Below are 22,118 nucleotides of genomic sequence, written 5' to 3'. Positions count from 1 at the left end.
CTAAGACCTATTTCAGATTTTGGACCCCAGAACTATAAGATAACAAATTTGTATTGCTTAAGCCTCTAAGTTTGTAGTAATTTGTTACAATAGTACTAGAAAATTATAGTGAGAATCTAGGCATGTGAATATAATCATGTGTATAGGTACTTCCAAAACTGAATAAAGGCAGCCGGCACTTTTTGAATGACCACATTTCACAAGTCACTAAGATATTTTCATTCTTTTATTTTTGACACATAAATTCATTAAGTTCAACCCAATTTCACTTATGGAAATGTTTCTAATTTCCATAATGAAGGTTAGTTTATAAAAAATAATATATTGTCAATGATTTCAGATATAACTAAGCAATGACCAGGCACTCCACTGCTAAATTTTTGCAGACATATCAAAGGGAAAAAATTTTAGGAATAAAATTGGTGTAAAGATTGGTTAGTAAAAGGAGCAACATACAAAATCATACTTTATTATTAATGATATATATTTTATTCTATTAAGAAACTATGCTCCCATGAGAATTATTCTGATATGATCATTTTCATAGGTATTTCCCACAATCATTTATATATAACAAGTATAATAGAGAAAACCCAAACTTCAGTAACGGTGAAGTTACTGAATATATTTCTGCTTTTCTGGCCACTGTTGTAGAAATGATCTCCAAAACTTTTTGAGAGTATATAATCATCCTGTTAAAATGGCAGGTGGTTATTTTTTTAATTTACAAATGCACACATGACTTGTTGACCTTCAAGGAGAAATTTTTGGCCTTGGGCCCCCAACCCAAGTACAAAATTATATGTGATTGTGAATAATAAGAATAATTGAGTCCTGATGGCAAATGTTCATCCATCACTCTCTGGAACTAAATGAGTCAATAATGGTAATTACTTTGATTTCCAGGCATTGGATCCCAACATCCAGTTATGTTCATCAAAAAACAGAAAATTCATACTCAACCCTCATCTTTTAAATATGTCAAAAGCCACTAATATTTCATATTTAAGTATTACATACCAGCCAATAGCATTGTATTGGTCAGCTCAGGCTGTTGTAAGAAAATACCATAAACTGGGTGACTTGAACATAGAAATTTATTCTCTTACAGCCCTGAAAGCTGCAAGGCCCACCAATATCAGGGTCTGGCCCTGTTCAGTTGCTGATGAGGGCTCTCTTTCTACTCTTTATCAGAGCATTCAAGACCCTTTACAGTTTGGGACCCACCTACTTTTCCAGCATTTTCACCCATTTTTCTTTACCTCCTAACTTCTAGACAAACAAAACTTCCCATTATATCTCTCAGATAAATCACACCATTTCACACTTCAGTGTCCCTGCACATGACATTCCATATTTATGCATTCTCTGCCTAGCAAATCCTGTCATCCTTTTAGACTTGACCTAATGGGACATCCTCGAGAAGTAATGTCCAGTATCCCTAATAATCAAGTCCCTTTTCTGAGATTCCATGAGTTTTTGCTAATATACTATTATAATATCACATTGAATTATAATTATTCTTCTATATATTGCCTTTATGAAATGCAGAGGTTTTCATATTTGTGCTGGGCTCCTTTTCACTGAGGCTGAATGCCAAATAAATATTTTACATCTTCCTTCTAGTTTGTGGAAAATAAATAGGGTATGTAATGGAATGCCCTAGTGAACACAAGCCAAGCCAAAGATTAAATTCCTGGGGTTTTGTTGTTTCCTTTTCTCTTATTTTGCAAGGGACATACCAGTTACAACTATATATATATATGTATATATACATTGATACTCTGTGTGTGTGTGTGTGTGTGTGGGTGGGTGGGTGGGTGGGTGTGTGTGTGAAGTAAATTACATATAGGTCAAAAAGTCACCTTGAAATCACTGAAGGTAGCTTCCTTTGACAGGCAGCCATAGATGAAATAAAATAGCCCAGTAATATGGTGGAAGGAGTATTAGTTTCCAAGGACTACTATAACAACTTACCACAAACTTGGTATCTTAAAAACAACAGAAATGTATTCTGTCAAAGTTCTAGAGGCCAGAAGTCTGAAATCAGCTTTACTGAGTCAAAATCAAGGTTATGGCTGAGCAGCACTGCCTCAGGAATCTCTGAGAAAGAATTTGGATTTTGACTTCTCCAGCTTCTGGTGGCTCTGGCATTCCTTGAGTGTGGCCACATCACTTCAATATCCTTCTCTGTGGATACATTGCCTTCTCCTCTGTGTGTGTCTTTTAAATCTTCCTTTGTTGTCCTCTTACATGGATGCATGTGATGGCATTTAAAGTCCTTCTGGATAATTCAGGATATTATTTTCTTGTCAAGATCATTAATCACATCTAGAAAGACCCTTTTTCCTTACATGGCAAAATTTACAGGGTCCAGGGATTAGAATCTTATATCTTTGAATGTCACTATTCAGCATAATATAGGATGTTTTAAAAAATTCCTGTTTAACAAAGAAAAGTACGAATAGGTGTCATCACCAAAAGCGGCAGAGAAGGAACTCCAATATTCCATTCCTCCACAAAATCAAAGGATGTCATTTTTTGAATCACTTTGGAACTCTAGAATCTAATAAACAATGCACAACATCCGGTGAAATGCTTAATGAAGAAAGAAGCTGCTACATTTCAGTATTTAAGGAAATGTCTCAAATCACTAGCTGACAGAACAGATTTCAATGGCCACACACAAAAAAGAATACAGCCATAATAAACTTACAAAAACGATAAAGCTCTTAAAAGAAAACTTAGGAGGAAATCTTTAGTACCTTGAATTTAGTAACGGTTTCTTAGATATAGCACCAAAAGCATGCACAACAAAAGAAAAAAATAAATTAGACTTTGTCAAAATGTGAAACTTTTTTCATCACAGAATGAGAGAAAATATTCAAAATTATATAGCTAATAAAAGTCTAATATCTAGAATATATAAAGAACTCTTACAAGTCAATGACAAAAAGTTTTAAAAATCCAATTAAAAATTGGGCCAAGGACTTGAATAGATATTTCTCAAAAAAAGACATTAATAGCCAAAAAGTACATTTAAGGTGCTCAACATCATTAGTTACTAAGCAAATGCAAAACAAAATTTCCATGAAATGCCACTTTAGACCCACTGGGATGATACTATCATTTTTAAAAAAATGGAAAATAACAAGTTTTGACAAAGATGTGGAAAAATTGGAACCCTTATATTGCTGCTGGGAATGTAAAATGGTGCAACCACTGTGGAAAATAGTTTGTGGTTCCTCAAAAAAATTAAACATAAAGTTACTATATGAGCCAACCATTCCACTTCTAGGTATACACCCAAAAGAACTGAAAACAGGTATTCAGACAAAACTTGCACCCAAATGTTCACAGCAGCACTATTCACAGTGACCAAAAGATGTGACTAACCCATATGTCCATCAACTGTTGATGTATTGATACATGCTATAACATGAATGAATCTTGAAAACTCTATACTAAGTAAAAGAAGCCAGATGCAAAAGAACACATATTGTATCATTGCACTTATATAAAATATCCAGAATAGAGAAATTCATAGACAGAGGAATCAGCTTAGTGGTATCCAGAGAGGGTAGGAAGGTGGGAAATGGAGTGACTGCTTATTGGGTATGGGGTCTCCTTTGAGGGTGAGGAAAATATTCTGGAACTAGATAGTGATAACTGTTGTAAACATTGTGAATGTACTAAATGCCAGTGAATCGAACCCTTTAAAATGGTTAAATGGTAACTAATGCATGTTATGTGAAAGTTAATTTCATAAGAATAAAAGTAGACAATTTTTTAAAATTAGAAAATTTGCCTCATCCCTTAGGAACCTGATGCTGAAAGAGACAGGGAGGCCAATGGTTTTGGATCCATAAAGTGCTAGTTTTTAAAACCAGTCCTAGCCCAGCACTCCAGGACTGGCTTGCCCCCTAGGATGTGACTGAATTTGAACTGAAAAACTAACAGGCAGGGCCCTGGGCAGATGCCTGATAGAGCATGAAGGTTCCACAATGAAATATAGTATTAATACTAAGGGCATATCTTTTCTCACTAGCCTCCATCCAACATTTATGGAAGCAACTGAAGTGAAGGATCTAATCATCTTAGCCATGTGCTCCTGGCCCAAACTTTATAAGTAGCTTTAGAAGAAGTCTTCCTTGGCTCAGTGCTGGTGGAGAGATCAACTGCCACCACCATCCTGAGTAGCTTTGCGTCTTCCATGGGAGAGAGTTATCCACTGCCCTGTTTCTGAGCTGGCCAAAAAGTGGTGCCCAGTGGCCCACTCTAACCTTTAAAGCCTTCTTGTTTTTGTCCCCATAACACTGGGGATGTGGGAAACCCATCCTCCAAACGATCAACTACAGCTGGATGAATGTTCTAGCACTTGTGGCTGACTCCACAGTAGGCCAGGATTCCCCAAGACCAGTTTCTGCTCAGCTACTACCAATCCCTCTGCCTAAAGCTACACGTTAAGATTTAAAAGAGCAAGACTCAGTTTCTCCTTCAAGATACTCAAAAAGTCAAGTGCTTCTTGAATTTTTTTATTGCATCTTCTTTCCAGTGTGTGAGGTAGTCAAATTTTTGCACTTTGGAAATTGAAAGACATTGTTATACTTAGACTGTATAGTGACACCAAGTGACAGGAAAGTAGTCAAAGTCTTTTTCTGCTATCAGTTCTCCAACTGGTTGAGCCTGCTGCTTTGTGTAAGTATGTATCTTTCCTTTTGCAGAAGCTGTTTATGAGAATATCACATCTTGTATGAATAGCTTTACGACATTTACAGTCACGAAGGTCAAATAGCCCTAATGTTAACCACAGCTATAGTTAACAGAAACTCAGGAGTGGGTAAGATAAGCCAGCCTTCAGTGCCCTTTCCAAACAGTCATCAGTTCTGTAAAAATTAGTATAAGCAGTAACTTCTCTCCACAAAACATAAAGAAAATACTGCAGCAAAGGATAAAGAAATGGTTCAGAATGCTGCTTGCCCACACTCATCCACCAGGGAAATCCAGCTGAGAAGATTAGAAGCCATACTCTCCTGAACTCAGAAAGATGCCCACACTGCTACTCAAATTGCTTCTCCTAGTGCTTCCCTTCCCTGGAGCAATCTAAGTGTGTTTTGTTTTATTTTGTTTTTCTTTGCTATGTTGTTCTTGGTGGTGGTGGTAGCAGCAATAAAAAGTAAGTGTAAAGGTAATTTGACAATAATCTTGACCCTTTTCTCTGGATCTAATAAGAGGACTAAAACATTATTTCTCAAAGATGGGAACATGGAGCACATACATAAGAATTACCTGGAATTCTTGCTAATACTGTAGATTCCAGGGCTCTCTCTCATCCCTATTAGACAGATCTCTGTATATCAGACTCAAATCAGCACATTTCCTACTTCACATATTAAATTCTAAAATTTGAAGCTAAGGCAGAAAGCATAAAATACATTCTCAAAGACAGTTTTTTGTATCCTGAGACCTTGCTGAAGTTGCTTTTCAACTTAAGGAGATTTTGGGCTGAGACGATAGGGTTTTCTAAATATACAATCATGACATCTACAAACAGGGACAATTTGACTTCCTCTTTTCCTAATTGAATATCTTTTATTTCTTTCTCCTGCCTGATTGCCCTGGCCAGAACTTCCAACACTATGTTGAATAGGAGTGGTGAGAGAGGGCATCCCTGTCTTGTGCCAGTTTTCAAAGGGAATGCTTCCAGTTTTTGCCCATTCAGTATGATATTGGCTGTGGGTTTGTCATAAATAGGTCTTATTATTTTGAGATACATCCCATCAATACCTAATTTATTGAGAGTTTTTGGCATGAAGTGCTGTTGAATTTTGTCTAAGGTATTTTCTGCATCTATTGAGATAATCATGTGGTTTTTGTCTTTGGCTCTGTTTATATGATGGATTACGTCTATTGATTTGCGTATGTTGAACCAGCCTTGCATCCCAGGGATGAAACCCACTTGATCATGGTGGATAAGCTTTTTGATGTGCTACTGGATTCGGTTTGCCAGTATTTTATTGAGGATTTTTGCATCGATGTTCCTCAGGGACAATGGTCTAAATTTCTCTTTTTTTGTTGTGTCTCTGCCAGGCTTTGGTATCAGGATGATGCTGGCCTCATAGGATGAGTTAGGGAGGATTCCCTCTTTTTCTATTGTTTGGAATAGTTTCAGAAGGAATGGCACCAGCTCCTCTTTGTACCTCTGGTAGAATTCGGCTCTGAATCTGTCTGGTTCTGGGCTTTTTTTGGTTGGTAGGTTATTAATTATTGCCTCAATTTCAGAACCTGTTATTGGTCTGTTCAGGGATTCAACTTCTTCCTGGTTTAGTCTTGGGAGGGTGTATGTGTCGAGGAATTTATCCATTTCTTCTAGATTTTCTAGTTTATTTGTGTAGAGGTGTTTATAGTATTCTCTGATCGTAGTTTGTATTTCTGTGGGATTGGTGGTGATATCCCCTTTATCATTTTTTATTGCATCTATTTGATTCTTCTCTCTTTTCTTCTTTATTAGTCTTGCTAGCAGTCTATCAATTTTGTTGATCTTTTCAAAAAACCAGCTCCTGGATTCATTAAAAATTAATTTAAGATGGATTAAAGACTTAAATGTTAGACCTAAAGCCATAAAAATCCTAGAAGAACACCTAGGCGATACCATTCAGGACATATGCATGGGCAAGGACTTCATGTCTAAAACGCTGAAAGCAATGGCAACAAAAGCCAAAATTGACAAATGGAATCTAATTAAACTAAAGAGCTTCTGCACAGCAAAAGGAACTACCATCAGAGTGAACAGGCAACCTACAGAATGGGGGAAAATGTTTGCAATCTACTCATCTGACAAAGGGCTAATATCCAGAATCTACAAAGAACCCAAACACATTTACAAGAAAAAAACAAACAACCCCATCAAAAATTGGGTGAAGTATATGAACAGACGCTTCTCAAAAGAAGACATTTATGTAGCCAACAGACACATTGAAAAAAATGCTATCATCACTGGCCATCAGAGAAATGCAAATCAAAACCACAATGAGATACCATCTCATACCAGTTAGAATGGCCATCATTAAAAAGTCAGGAAACAACAGGTCTTGGAGAGGATGTGGAGAAATAGGAACACTTTTACACTGTTGGTGGTACTGTAAACTAGATCAACCATTGTGGAAGACAGTGTGGCAATTCCTCAAAGATCTAGAACTAGAAATACCATTTGACCCAGCAATCCCATTACTGGGTATATACCCAAAGGATTATAAATCATGCTACTATAAAGACACATGCACACGTGTGTTTATTGTGGCACTATTCACAATAGCAAAGACTTGGAACCAACCCAAATGTCCATCAATGATAGACTGGATTAGGAAAATATGGCACACATACACCATGAATACTATGCAGCCATAAAAAGGATGATTTCATGTCCTTTGTAGGGACATGGATGAAGCTGGAAACCGTCATTCTCAGCAAACTATCGTAGGGACAAAAAACCAGACGCTGCATGTTTTCACTCATAGGTAGGAATTGAACAATAAGAACACATAGACGCAGGAAGGGGAACATCACACACCAGGGCCTGTTGTGGAGTTGGTGGAGGGGGAAGGGATAGCATTAGGAGATATACCTAATGTAAATGATGAGTTACTGGGTGCAGCACACCAACATAGCACATGTATATATATGTAACAAACATGCACATTGTGCACATGTACCCTAGAACTTAAAATATAATAATAAAAAAAAAAGACAGTTTTTTTCTGTCTCCCAAACCATCTCTCTAACCCACTGGGGTATAAATTTCTACAAAGCAGGGATCATGTATTTATTATTCAACTACCACTCATTCATCAATCCATGATCCAATGTTCTTTTGCTAAGCACCTATTATTGTGCTTAACAATCTATCAATCATTGTATTAGATACAGATTAGATAAAGCAGAATGTTCTCCCTTGAAGATGTAACAAGAAAAATCAAAAATAAAAGAGGAATAAAATTAAAACAAACACAAAATGAATAAATAAATAAAGCAGAATGGACATAACAGACATTCATTAAATGTTTGCTGAATAAATAGATAGAATGAATGAATGAACAACCTGAAGGAATACTTTACCTTATTGGTAAGAATCTTAAAAACATGTTTTCCTCCTCTTCTATTGAGAAACCAACACATTATTAATCTTCTGGTCAACCATTTATTTTATTAGGCATCATTCCAAATCATTATGCTGAATAAAAACAGTAATTGCATAAGAACATATATCACAAATCTCATCAATGTTTCATTCTAAATGCTTATGTGAAAATGAGCATTGCTGCCATTTTTGAAATCAGTTAATATTCTATACATTTTATATATAGATAATACTAACTAGCAGTGTTCTTTATATTATGAAAGGTAAATGTCACTCACCCAGAGATCTTTAGCTAGTATATGTGGACCAAAGACAGCTCATATGTTTCCAAAAGCCATCACACTGGGAAGCAGTGCCCTCCTCCCCATCCTACTCCCATTGAGAACCACATGTCCCTGGGTTAAATTTAATGAAAAATACTATCCTTTCATATATGTTGTTTATCTTAGCTAATATCTGAGCTCCTAGGAAGTTCCATGTGAATTGATACATTTAAGTGGAGCAGAGCATTTGAAGGAAATCTGTGGCAAATCCTTCCATAACAAAGAATATTAGTATTGATTTAATGCTTAGTATTTGCCAGATATTAAGCTAAATGCTTTAAATACATTATCTCATTGAATGCTCCAAACATCTCCATGAGGTAAATAATATTAGTAAATCCCATTTATTGTTGGGTAAATTTAGGCAAAGAAACATTTGATAACTCACCCAAAAGCCCAGCTAGAAAAGAACAAAAGAAGCTAAAATTTAAACTCATATCTGTCTACTCTTGAGTCATAGCTCTTAACCATTAGGGTGTTTTCATAACTGATTTCTCTAAGTGAAGCATATGCTATTAATCATTATCTATGTTTTACTAAAGAGCTAAATAAATCTTTAAATATTAAATATGCTAGGCATAGATTATATGCTAATTAAATTTTACTATCTTTTACCAGGCACGGTGGCACATGCCTGTAGTTCCAGCTACTTGAGAAGTTGAGGCAGGAGGATCACTTGAGGCCAGGAGTTCAAGTCCAGTCCGGGCATAATAGTAAGATTCTATCTCTTAAAAAATAAATACATAAATAAATTGCAGTGGTCTAGTAAACATAAAAACAAAAAATAATTGTGATGGAGGAGACCACTTTATAATAATTTTTATTAAGCCATCTCAAAGACATATTACTTAATCACTGCAATAACTTTCTCATAAATGGTCATGGTTTTGTCACCACAATTACAGGAAATTTTGCTACATGAGGAAAAGACCCAATTAGCACAACTGCCTTTCTGGGTGCTTCAGGCCCAATAAGCTTATTACACATTATTCCTCAGTTATTTCAACCCAGATAGCTACTCGCTTCTAAAAGAACCTCCAAATGTTACATTGTCATCTACAATCTAGACACCCATTTCTTAGGTGATTTACTGTTTGACCTTCTGGGAAAGTTTTACATTATTAGCACCAAAGAATAGCATCAATTTCTATGAAGGAAATTCACAGTAAATAAAGCCTTGTTGCAGAGAACAACTTTAATCTACCAAATAATGATGTTCCTTGATGATCATCGTTTTTTGTTGTTGTTTTGTTTTGTTTTGTTTTTTGTTTTGTTTTGTTTTTTGACAAAGTCTCACCCTGTTGCCCAGGCTGGAGTGCAATGGTGCAATCTCAGCTCACTACAACATCCACCTCCCAGGTTCAAGTGATTCTCCTGCCTCAGCCTCCCAAGTAGCTGGGATTACAGGTGCCCGCCACCAAGCCTGGCTAATTTTTTGTATCTTTAGTAGAGACTGGGTTTCACCATGTTGGCCAGACTGGTCTCGAACTCCTGACCTCACTATCTGCTTGTCTCAGCCTCCCAAAGTGCTGGGATTACAGGCGTGAGTCACTGTGCCTGGCCCTTGATGACTATCTTGAAAAATGTTTAGGGCATGACCATCTTCCCACTGTTATCCAAAAAAAATTTCTGAGATGAGTCCTCTCCACCATCAGATTATGACTTCTCAAAAAAGTATAGACAAATCTTCCTTTATTCATTCACTTTACAGCTACTGACTGAGCATGCACAATGTGCCAGGCACTGTATTAGGAGCTGAGGATATAGCGGTGAATAAGATAGACATACATACTACTTATATTTCCAGAGAATCTGCCCATCTGAACAAGGTCACCTAGGTAAGTAACTTCACCCAAGCTATCCAAGTGACAGCTCTATGCTTTTTGAAGGGTTTCTCCCACAAGGTTTTTAATAATAAATTCATGGGTGCTATTATCTGAACAAACTATCCACCCCAAAAGTTGACTAAAACAGAAGAGGCAAGCCTCTTTTAACTGACCCTGAACTCCAAAGTCAGGCAAAATAATTGTCAGATGATCTGACAGGCTGCATAGATGAATCACTTACTTTGACTCAGCCTACTGAGTCATTTTTACTGTAATAAGGCATTCTATAATGTCATATTTCTTAGTTTACTCAGGCTTTATAATAATAATGCTATTTTTCCCATTTTAATTGTTTGAGGACACAGCATTGAGTCAAATTCTCCTCAAAAAGAACATAGTCACCTACAGCAACTTCTTCAGTTTTTCCAGGTTGTAGGTTACTCCATAATATCTCTGTTCTAACTCCTTTTTTCCTTTTCTCCTTATTTATCTTAAATATAAACACATAAACATTCCTTACAAGATATTCTTTAATTTCCTCTTCCTTTTCTTCACTTTTCTTTTGGACAACTTCTACCACACCTATAGTTTCAACAACCACCCCTCAGAGATGACCCTTTCTTTGGTATCCCTTGCTCTAGCTCTTTCTCCTGAGAATGGTTGTGGTTGCTGCAGAAGCAGCTTGAGTCAGCCTGAACCTGAACTGTCATCTAGCAGCCTGGAGCTGAGGAGGTGATGCAGCCCTGGGAGGCTAAGCCTTTGCATGTCTTAATGGACACACATCAAGGTCAAGCATACTGCAAACAAGAGTTAGTAAGAAACCAAGATGACCCGGCAAGACAAATGACTCAATGAGCTGACAAGATGGGCTAGGAATGGTCAGAACTGGAGGCAAAAACTGGAATTAGGGATGAATTCCAATGACAAATTCCAATTGTCAACTTCCCTTTCAGTTTCTTTCCCTTCCCAAACAATTCAGTTCTAAAGCCATTTGTGGGAGCATAGCCATACAGTATTTGCTGAAAGTAGAAGGCAGCCATGGTGACCTTGAGCAGACTATCAGAGCTCACCCAGTGTGAGGAGGGGATGCACCTAGAGGAGGAGGTTTCTGTGAGTATCAGAACCTGAGTAGGGTAGGGAGGAAGACCACGTGATGGGGAGGTGGGATGAGGAAGGCATCTAGACTAGAGGGAGACCTAGAATGAGATTTCAAAGCTCAAGCAAGGCGAGCAGGGCATCAATAAAAAAAGGCAGACTGGCAGAGATGTTGGGGCCAAGGAGGATAAGGAGGGTGTCTATGCAGGGTGTCCCAGTGTGGGAAGTCAGAGCTTGAGCCAGGTGGAGAGGGCATCCATGGGGGGATTGCACGTATAGCATGACATCGGTTACTGTAGCCCATGGAAAGATAAAGCAGGACTTCCACAGAGAGGAAATGCCTAACACGCAGTGTTGGAGCCCAAGTAAGCTAGGAAAATATCCATGCAAGGGAAGGAGTAATGGTTGAGATGGGAGATTAATGATATTCAAGAAAACTGATCAAATAAATAAGTGCACACAGAAATATCTGTGTAAACTCATAATTTTCATTATCTAGATATATATAAAAATGAATATAAATGTGTATATGCATGTTTAAATGTGAATATGTGGATATAAGTATGTGTGTACATCACCTACCTCTGTCCACCCCAAAGGACTGGGAGCAGCAATACCCCAATAGCAGTGAGTACTCCTAGTAACCAGATCTTGGCTTCTGGATACTGTCCCCCACTAAAAGGGATAAAGGCTCAAAGAAGAAATGGCTGATTATAGGATTGGGCAGGAATATTATATGCAAAATAAGCAAGGAAGTAATCGAAGAATGATAGGGACAGGTCTGAAAATACAAAAAGCAATTTAAAGAAAGACTGACCAAATAGGTGACAATTTGAGCATCAACATAAATAATAATAGTAATAGATTATTATAATCCATTAAATAAAAATTGAAAACCATTAAGCCATAGTGATATAAATAAACAATTTAAAGATTGATTAGAAAAGGGATATTTACATAGTTTCAAAATACCTTCCCACAGAAAACTTACTAATTGCAAAGAGAAAAAGAGTAAGTTTACAGTAAAGAAGATTGACAGACACCACCTAAATTGAGTAATCAAAATGATTAGTTATAGGACAAATGGCCATGATATGCCAAGTGATAGAATGCAGTGAGAAGAACACAGCATTACTTCTGCAATTAGTCTTTATTTTTCAGATGACAAGTAAAAATTATGTATATTTATCATGTACAACATGATGTTCTGATATATGCATACATGGCAGAATGCCTAAATCAAGCGATTTAACATATGCATTACCTCATATACTTATTATTTTTGAGACAAGAACACTTAAAATCTACTCATAGCCATTTTCAAGTATACGATGCATTGTTATTAAGTATAGTCACCATGATGTATAATAAATCTCCTGAACTTATTCCTCCTATCCAACTGAAATGTTGTGTCCTTTGACCAACAACTCTCCAATCTCTCCACCCCACCTCACCCCCAGCCTCTGGTAACAAACGTAGATTGGTCTTGGGTCCAATCCTAGAGATCTTGGTTAACAAAATCCTTCAAGACATATCAACCTACTGGGCAATTTGATGCAGCCTGGACTCTACCAGGAAATTACAGCAAGGCTCCATCACTTTGGATAATCTAAAAAGCACAGTTCAATTTCTATGCGGGCTCAGGGGATACAACTACATCACAAACAAATAGAATGAGGTACAGGCAAAAGCTATAAAATTTCCTGAAAATGATCCTTATGCCTAAGCTCTCACAGAAGTGTATTTGTGTATTTTCATTGTCAGTCAACTTGATAAACTCAGTGATCGACCTTCACTACACTACCTTCCATCCTTTGAATTCAAGTTCTGGGTTCTAAGCCTGACTCTATTTTTAATTACCAAGTCATTTAATGTTTCCAAGACTCCATTTCTTCAAGTATATTATGAATAGCTTGTACTGGAAGGTCTCTACAGAAACGTTCAGCTTGTCTACAGTGGAAGAGAGGAACTTCTATGACTTCATATATGTATATATATATAGAGAGAGAGAGAGAGAAATGTATATATAAAGTGTATATATAGAAATGTGTATATATATAAAGTATACATATATATATATACACTTTAAGTTCTCAGATACATGTGCAAAACGTGCAGGTTTGTTACATAGGTATACAGGTGCCATGGTGGTTAGTTGCACCCATCAACCCATCATCTACATTAGGTATTTCTCCTAATGCGATCCCTCTCCCAGCCCCTCACCTCCTGCCAGGCCCCAGTGTGTGATGTTCCCCTCCCTGTGTCCATGTGTTCTCATTGTTCAACTCCCACTTATGAGTGAGAACATGCGGTGTTTGGTTTTCTCTTCCTGTGTTAGCTTGCTGAGAATGATGGTTTCCAGCTTCATCCATTTCCCTGCAAAGGACATGAACTCATCCTTTTTTACGGCTGCATAGTATTCCATGGTGTATATGTACCACATTTTCTTTATCTAGTCTATCATTGATGGACATTTGGGTTGGTTCCAAGTCTTTGCTATTGAGAATAGTGCTGCAATAAACATACGTGTGCATGTGTCTTTAAAGTTGAATGATTTATAATCCTTTGGGTATATACCCAGTAATGGGATTGCTGGGTCAAATGGTATTTCTGGTTCTAGATTCTTGAGGAATCGCCACACTGCCTTCCCCAATGGTTGAACTAATTTACACTCCTACCAACAGTGTAAAAGCATCCATATTTCTCCACATCCTCTCCAGCACCTGTTGTTTCCTGACTTTTTAATGATTGCCATTCTAACTGGCATGAGATGGTATCTCACTGTGGTTTTGATTTGTATTTCTCTATTAACCAGTGATGATGAGCTTCTTTTCATGTTCGTAGGCTGCATAAATGTCTTCTTTTGAGAAGTGTCTGTTCATATGCTTTGCCCACTTTTTGATGGGGTTGTTTTGTTTTTTCTTATAAATTTAAGTTCCTTGTAGATTCTGGATATTAGCCCTTTGTCAGATGGATAGATTGCAAAAATTTTCTCCAATTCTGTAGGTTGCCTGTTCACTCTGATGATAGTTTCTTTTGCTGTGCAGAAGCCTTTAGTTTAATTATATCCCATTTGTCTATTTTGGTTTTTGTTGCCATTGCTTTCAGCATTTTAGTCATGAAGTCTTTGCCCATGTCTATGTCCTGAATGGTATTGCCTAGGTTTTCTTCTAGGGTTTTTATCGTTTTAGGTTTTATATTTAAGTCTTTAATCCATCTCGAGTTCACTTTTGTATAAGGTGTAAGGAAGGGGTCCAGTTTCAGTTTTCTGCATATGGCCAGCCAGTTTTTCCAACACCATTTATTAAATAGGAAATCCTTTCCCCATTGCTTGCTTTTGTCAGGTTTGCTATGACTTCGTTTCTAATTTGCCCCACAAGGATTCACAGAAATAGTTGTCACACAAACTCTTTTTAGTTATGAGGAGGAATCAATTCTACCTTACATCTTTACTCATAGAGTCATAGCATCTTGGAGTCAGTGGATTTATGTAATAATTGGAAGAACAAGGGTGAGACAAGATTAAGTTCACAATAAGAGTTAGAGTTAGATAAAAACTAAAGAGATAGGTAGAGTGAAAGCACTGACCATTTTAGGGTATGGGACACTTAGAAGTGCTCTCAAACTGAAGAGAAGATGGCATTGAAGAAGGATGGGAAATAATTGTTGCTCAAAACCAATGAGGGAAGCGATAGGGTTTACTATGGGAAGAGCAGAGAAATTTCTTATGCTCTTAGGAACATTACCTCATTACTCCTCATCTCAAGCCTGGGTGGCAGATACTGTTACTGCCCCCATTTCACAGAGAAGAAAACTTAGGCACAGAACAAGTAAATAACCTGCCTGAAGTCACACACTAACAGGTTGAAGAGTTGAGATGCTCAGTCTGACTACAGAGCCCCTGCTCTTGACCACTCTCCTTCCTCTAAGAAAGGAAAGAAAGACGAAGAAAGTATATTTAATTTCAGAAATGAACAAGGATAATATTGAAGAAATGCTCTTCTGATGGCCTTGATGTTCTGAGTCAAGAAGGAAACACCATCTGCTAAGCTGAAGGTCAAGGATGAGGCTAGGGATTCATAAAAAAAAGAGTGGTTTACAAAAGCCTTTTAAGACTGGAAAAGGGACGCTGCTACAGATGAATAAAAGAATTGCTAAGCATCATCGGTGGCCTGAGTGAGTTTGGAACATTTGCACTAGTAATGACACCATCAGCATGGTTATGCAACTTTCTTGAGCACTTCTCAGAAACCCAGAAGCAGAAATCAAGAAAACAGATCGTTGATCTACAGCTGGGGGCCTGGAAACGGGGTGATGTGGACAGTGACTGTCTTAAGGGAATTGAGGATGTTGGTTGAGAATAGTTGAAGTAATTGATCATTGGGTCCAGGCCAAATTGGAAAGGAAGCAAAGCTAATGAATATCTGTGGGGTCAAATCATAAGAATGAAAGATACTTCCTTTCAGTGTATAAAAACTTTTGAAATTTATTGTAACAATTTTATTTTAAATATTTAATTATATGAAGCAAGAACAAGCTACCTTACATTTTATTCTTTAATTGAAAACTACATATATCTACTAATTACTAAGTACACCGAATCAAGAGAGTTAGAACTAGTCCCAGATCTGTACTAGTGAACTATGTAACCAACTAAGTCACTCAGCCACTTTGTGCCTCAGTTTTACCTCTGTTAAAAAAAAAGAAATGAAGAAAGAAAAAGGAAAAGGAAAATTTGATTTAATAATCTAATATTCTATGCTTCATTTCTTCCTTTCATTCCATGACAAAAATAAATTGCTGAAATCTCCAAGCTAGTTATCTAACTTTAACATAACTGAAACTTTCTTTCCTGAATATGTGTTAAATATAATGTTTTTAAACCAAAAAGCTGCACATCCTTCAATATCAACGTCATAGTATCTAGCCAGACAGCAAAATAATGTACAAAATACAACAGAGCCATTAGCTACTCAACACCTCCATCTTCAGGGTCTCAATAAATCTTAAAATAGGATGATGACCCACATAGTACACATAATAACTTTTAAGACAACGCTGTCTCAAAGTAGACTAAGTTAGGAATTATGTTGGCACCATGCCAAATGAGTCTTCATTTTTCAATGATTTGATTTCAATTATTTTTCTTTCTTTTAATATCCTCTTCACTCCTTTATGTCATATATTTTTTATCCTCTAGAACTGTAGACATTTACTAATCAATATTTACCAAATATTTTCTGAATTCAGAATTATTTTAAGTTTGGAATTAATTGATTCCTTGAAGCTAGTGCTCCTTGAGTCTAGAGCTTCCTGGTCCATGCTGGACTCAAAGAAGGAGAAATACATTCCTGGAAGTACATTTAAGGGCCCTTCACCATCCCTCATGGCTATGTGGATGGTGCCTGGTGTTACTGATGGAGCATGTGCTCTGGATTGAGGAAGATCTGACTCCAAATCTTAGTTTAGTTGCTTATGAGCTTTGGTGAGACCTGAGACAACTTTTCCTACATGGCAGAGCTTCAGTTTTCTTATTCATTTAAGCTAAGAGGAGTTTGCCTCCTTACAGTGTTGTCATAAGGACTAAAATACATAACGTCTACTAAATGCCAAAAAATAAATATTTTTCCCTCCCCAATCCTTCATAAAAGAGGCAGTAGAATGTTATCTCTATAAGCATGAAGATTTACACACAAGGGGCTGACAGATTTCTTAAAGCATGTGCCCGGAACACAAACACGCAAAGCTTCCACATACACAGTGCTGCCCCCCTAGTGGACTGTCTGTGGAAGTACTTCACAATTATGCAACGGTTTAAAAAGTTAGAAGCAAAATAGATTTTATAATGAGAAAAGAAGCATCTCTATGAGGAAAGATCCTAAATTGATTTATTTAATCAAAAACGCAGTACCAGAAACTGCACTTAGCATTTAGGATATAAGACATAGTTCTGCTCTCAAAGAGATCTCAAGAAAATTGTTTCAGCATTCTCATTTATAGAGGCATGTTTCCAGAGTCTCAACTTCAGAACTCAAGTTATATTGACTTTAGGATTCAGATGTGTTTAGAATGCATTTATTTGGGAAGATTAGGTGGTCCCAGCAGAAGTCTATTTATATTAGGAAATCAAGGTGTGTTCTGGAGGGAAAAAACTCATCCTGCGTTTGGACCAAATTGGATCCAGGGACACTGATTCAGAGCTGGGGGAGGTGTGATTATGAATGTATAGTTGAGTTTATCCTCTGTCCCCAAAGCATGCAAACTAAAAAGGAGGCTATAAGAAAAGAGCAATTAGTAAGTAGATAGGCTATTTCACTGAGCTTTCATTGGGATATTTTGAGGGAAAGTTGGCACCATTGAAGTCAACAGTTTTGAGGGAAAAAAAAGTCTCTTTAATTCCTCATATAAATGAAGATTCAGCACCTAGCTCAGCTTTTACCACATAGTAAGTGCTCCATAAATACATGTGAATGTATAAATATTGAGTTCCTTTCTTTATGTGTTACCAACTCTAGAAAAAATAAATAAGACACATCTTTGTGGGACTAATTACAATTAGCACTGCAAAAAAAAAAAAAAGTATATGCCAATCGTTCTAGAATCACAAAGCCAAAAGAAATGTGTTTATCTGGTGAGGTTACTGTGATACCAAGAGACGAATTTATAGCTGATCAACAAAAGGTGAGAAGATCAGATGGGCAGAGGGGACGCCAGGTAAGGGAAGAACATAAGCAAAAGCCTTGAAAATTTTGATGAATTAGGAGCCATAACACCTCACAATGGATGCTGAGGATTGAGGTTTCCTTCTTTATTGGTGAAAAAAACAGGAAAAACAGTGGAAATGAAAACTCACTTTTTGATGTTTTCTCCCACTGTTCTGACATAGTTCATGTCCCTCCATTACTATCTATTCTGAATTTTCATGTTCTAAGCTTACTAAGAACCACACAGCCCTCTGTAAATATGAGTTATGTACAATGAACTAAATCAGTGCCTCAATTCTCTTTTCTTTGGAAAAGGTTTTTTCCAAGAAGGCATCTTTATCCCTCAGGAAAGTAAATCCTTGCTGAGCCCACTTTGCAGCTTTTCCAGGTAAACCTCTACAAATGGGTAGATCAGAGTCACCTGTTTCCTTATACAGTCAGGTCCTAGTAATGTTGTCAAGCACCCTAACTTAAAGACCAAAGAGAATTGGAGGAAAAAGAAGAGAAAGATAGGTAGGAAGAGAGAGTGGGGGAGAGAGACACAGGAAGATGATGAGAGAAAGATTAAAAGAGAAAATGTCAAAAGGAGAATGAAAGGAAGAGCAAGGAAAAAAAGGAGGAAGAAAGCACACTGGAAGAGATAGAGGAAAAGAAAACAAGTGAAACAGAGAGACACAGAAAGGTGGAAAAAAGGGAGAGAGGGATAAAAGAGAGAAATAGAGGAAGAAAAGATAAGAAGATAGAAGAAAGAGAGGCAGGAAAAGAGAGATATGGGGAAGAGAAAGGAGGAAAAGAAGAAAGAGAAGGAGAGAGGATAAGTGAAAAAAGAGAAAGGGGAGTAGAGTTGGTCTGATGACGACTAGTCTATCCATCCACCTTTGGAATAAATACATACGTTTCTTTATATAAGATTTGTGTGAGCAAGTTTAGTTTAATACAATTTAAATGACTTTGGGATTCATTTGCTAAGAAAATTAAATGCCTATCTAATATTATATACTCATTTTGTTCATTATATTTTAGTAAACTTTAAATCTAAAATCTCATTCTTAATTCTAACATATTTCACTTTTGGTAATGCATGTTAACCAATTTGTTAAACATTACAAGCTATTAAGAGAATTTGTTAAACATTACAAGCTATTAAAAAGATTCTTAATTCACAGTAACTCCATCCAATTTAGTAAAAAAACTCAAATGTTCAGTCCTATTACCAAGTAATCATCAATAAAAAAGGATTGCCCCCCAAAAATTATTAATTTTTACAATTTGTAAGATTTTATAATTTATAATAAATTTTACTAATTTATTATTAAAAAATTATTTGTATTAATTCAAAACAATTTGCCTTTCTACTCTATTTCAAAAGAATTTAGGGTTTAAAATGGAACCCTGGTTAAATATATATATAAGAAAATCATATATAAATAAGATTGGTTGTCAATTGGTTGAAAGAATTATATATATATAGACACACACACATACATATATCACTCTAAGTCTCATTATTTGCATCAAATTAGTATTTTCTTCAAAAAAACAAAATAATTATAACTCTTGGACTTTAATTTTTAATTTTTGATTTTTTAACATGAAAAATATTTATTGGTGTTATGAAATTCTATCTCAAACAATGGAGAAAATTATGACAACCAAACATCAGCAATGTCAAAGACAACACTGGCAAGCTCACAAAGAAATCTTGAAATTCACTTCTCTTTTCAAAGAGTTTTTTCCCCCCCAAAAGACACTGACTGGTTTCCATAATCACTCATATCAACATCATTTAGCCAGCTGGCCATTGCATAATTTTGACTTCTATATTAGAATCTGGTGCCAGTGAATATCTAGATTACATTATCCTATTTCCCTTTGGAGTACACAAAAAAAACAAGTATTTTTCCAAAGATGTCTTCATCTTTTTGATTAATATTTTGCCATACTTTACAAAATTCCAAATGCTTTAGTCTTTATATAATCAAAACTTACAATGAGACTCCTGGACTGAAACCAGTTCTCATTGAACCCAGGTGATTCCAGAGAGGCTTTCAACAAACCCTTTCAATAGGTGCCTCAAAGAGCTATTGTCATCATGATTCAATACTAATATACCTAGGACTAAAATTTGTGGATTAGATGGTAACTCTAAGTTTAATATTTAGAGGCAAAGCCAAATTGTTTTCTAAGGTGACTGGACTTTGTGCAATAGAGTCCTAGCAATGTTACGAGTACGCCTAAGTTAAAGTCAGTAGAGAACACTCCCGCCAGCAATGTATCAGGGTTCTAGTTTCTTCATATTCTTGCCAACACTTGTTATTTTCTCTTTTTTATTATAGCCTCTAAAGTGAGTGTGAAGTGGCACCTCACTGTAGTTTAAATTTGCATTTCCCTAATGACTAATGATGTGGAGTATCTTTTTATGTGCTTATTAGCCATTCACATATATCATCTCTAAAGAAATATCTATTCTAATCCTTTGTCCATTTTTCAAGTTATTTGTCTTTTTGTTATTAAAGTGTAAGAGTTGTTTTTATATTCCGTACACAAGTACCTTATCAGATATATGATTTACAGGTATTTTCTTCAAATCTGTCAGGTTTTTTTTGACTTTCTGTTATTTTTTTACCTTCAAGAGAATTGTTCATTTAATCTAAGTTTCTAATTTATTGGTATAAAGTTGTTCACAATTTCTATGAACTCTGTAGTGATTTCATTTCTTTCATGCCTGGTACTGTCAATGAAAACAGGCAAATTCTGTAAAATATTTGAAGAGACTCATTCTGAGCCAAATATTGTTACAGTAGTTAGCTACGCAGGCATGAGCAGGGAAGGAGAGGGGTCCCGCACACACATACACACCAGGAGTGTTGGGTGGCCATCAGGTGATGGTCAAGTGGTTGTTAACTGTCTCTCTCTAAAGTAATAATTAGTCACAGCCCACTCAGGGGAAAGTCAGTCTCCCAATAGACAGGAAAAACCTGAAACTGGTAATCAGCAGCTTCCCTGTAAGATCTCAGGAGTTGGGCATGTGGACTCAACAATGTGCGTTAAGAGGCAAAATGGCTGAGTTTAACTGGTATGTGACCTGATAGAAACATTTGGCTGATAAGGGAAGAACGCCTCACGTGAGCAAGCATACAATTCCAGGAAACACACTGCACATGCTCATCTCCCAAGCACTAGCAAGCCACTGTGCATGCAGACAGCCCACCCCAAGGGAAGAATTAGGGTAGAAGGAATGCAAGACCCCTGAAGTATGCCAACATATAAAACCCCAAGTCCAAAGGTCAAACTGCACACTTGTCTTTCAAGTTACCCACTCGGCCTTCTTCCAAGTCTACTTTCCTTCTTTTGGTTCCTGCTCTAAAGCTTTTTAATAAACTTTCACTCCTGTTCTAAAACTAGCCTCAGTCTCTCCTTCTGCCTTATGCCCCTCGGTAGAATTCTTTCTTCTGAGGAGCCAAGATTTGATGCTGCTGCAGACCCCTATGGATTTGCTGCTGGTAACAATATGAGGACCAATGACCTGTGACACAGCCCCAGGGTGTCCTAAGAACATGTGCCCAAGGTGGTCGGGCTATAGCATGGTTTTATACATTTTGGGGAGACATATGACTTCAATCAATACATGTAAACATTACATTGGTTCAGTCTGGAAAGGCAAGAAAACTAAGTGTGTGGTGTCAGGAGGAGTTTCAGGTCATATGCGGAGTCAAAGATTTTCTGATTGGCAATAGGTTGAAAGAGTTAAGTCATCACCTAAAGACCTAGAATCAAAAGAAAGGAGTGTCTAGGTTAAGATACCAGGTTGTGGAGAACAAGATTCTTATCATGTACGTGAAGCTTCCAGGTAGCAGGCTTCAAAGAGAATAGATTGTAAATGTTTCTTATCCGATGTAAAAAGGTACCAGACTCTCAGTTAATTCTTTCCTGTATCAGGAAAAAGAACTGGAAAGGGAAGGGGATTCTCTACAGGATATAGATTTTCCCCACGAGAGACAGCTTTGCAGGCCATTTTGAAATGTGTCAAAGA

At 36.8% G+C, this 22,118-nt stretch overlaps 1 long non-coding RNA gene across 1 annotated transcript in view, besides 1 other annotated feature; it reads right to left on the bottom strand.

The window, feature by feature from the left end:
* Positions 1-22,118, bottom strand: part of MGC27382 (uncharacterized) — a 139,866-nt gene that overhangs the window by 18,709 nt on the left and 99,039 nt on the right. Inside the window, exon 4 of the long non-coding RNA NR_027310.2 lies at positions 8,116-8,230. This is a non-coding gene — a long non-coding RNA (uncharacterized MGC27382). The remainder of the gene's footprint in view (positions 1-8,115; positions 8,231-22,118) is intronic.
* Positions 9,554-10,753: an enhancer, noted in NCBI's record as "P300/CBP strongly-dependent group 1 enhancer chr1:78805687-78806886 (GRCh37/hg19 assembly coordinates)". NCBI's record gives its function as "activates an origin of replication core promoter dependent on BRD2, BRD4, P300/CBP, MED14 and CDK7 cofactors, with strong dependence on P300/CBP, by STARR-seq in HCT116 cells {active_cell/tissue: HCT116}" and the evidence as "EXISTENCE:reporter gene assay evidence [ECO:0000049][PMID:35650434]".

The sequence above is a fragment of the Homo sapiens genome, chromosome 1 (assembly GCF_000001405.40).
Source record: "Homo sapiens chromosome 1, GRCh38.p14 Primary Assembly".
NCBI classification, from domain to species: Eukaryota; Metazoa; Chordata; class Mammalia; order Primates; family Hominidae; genus Homo; species Homo sapiens.
Note: the sequence above shows the minus strand (reverse complement) of the source record. Positions and strands in the feature narration are given on the sequence as shown.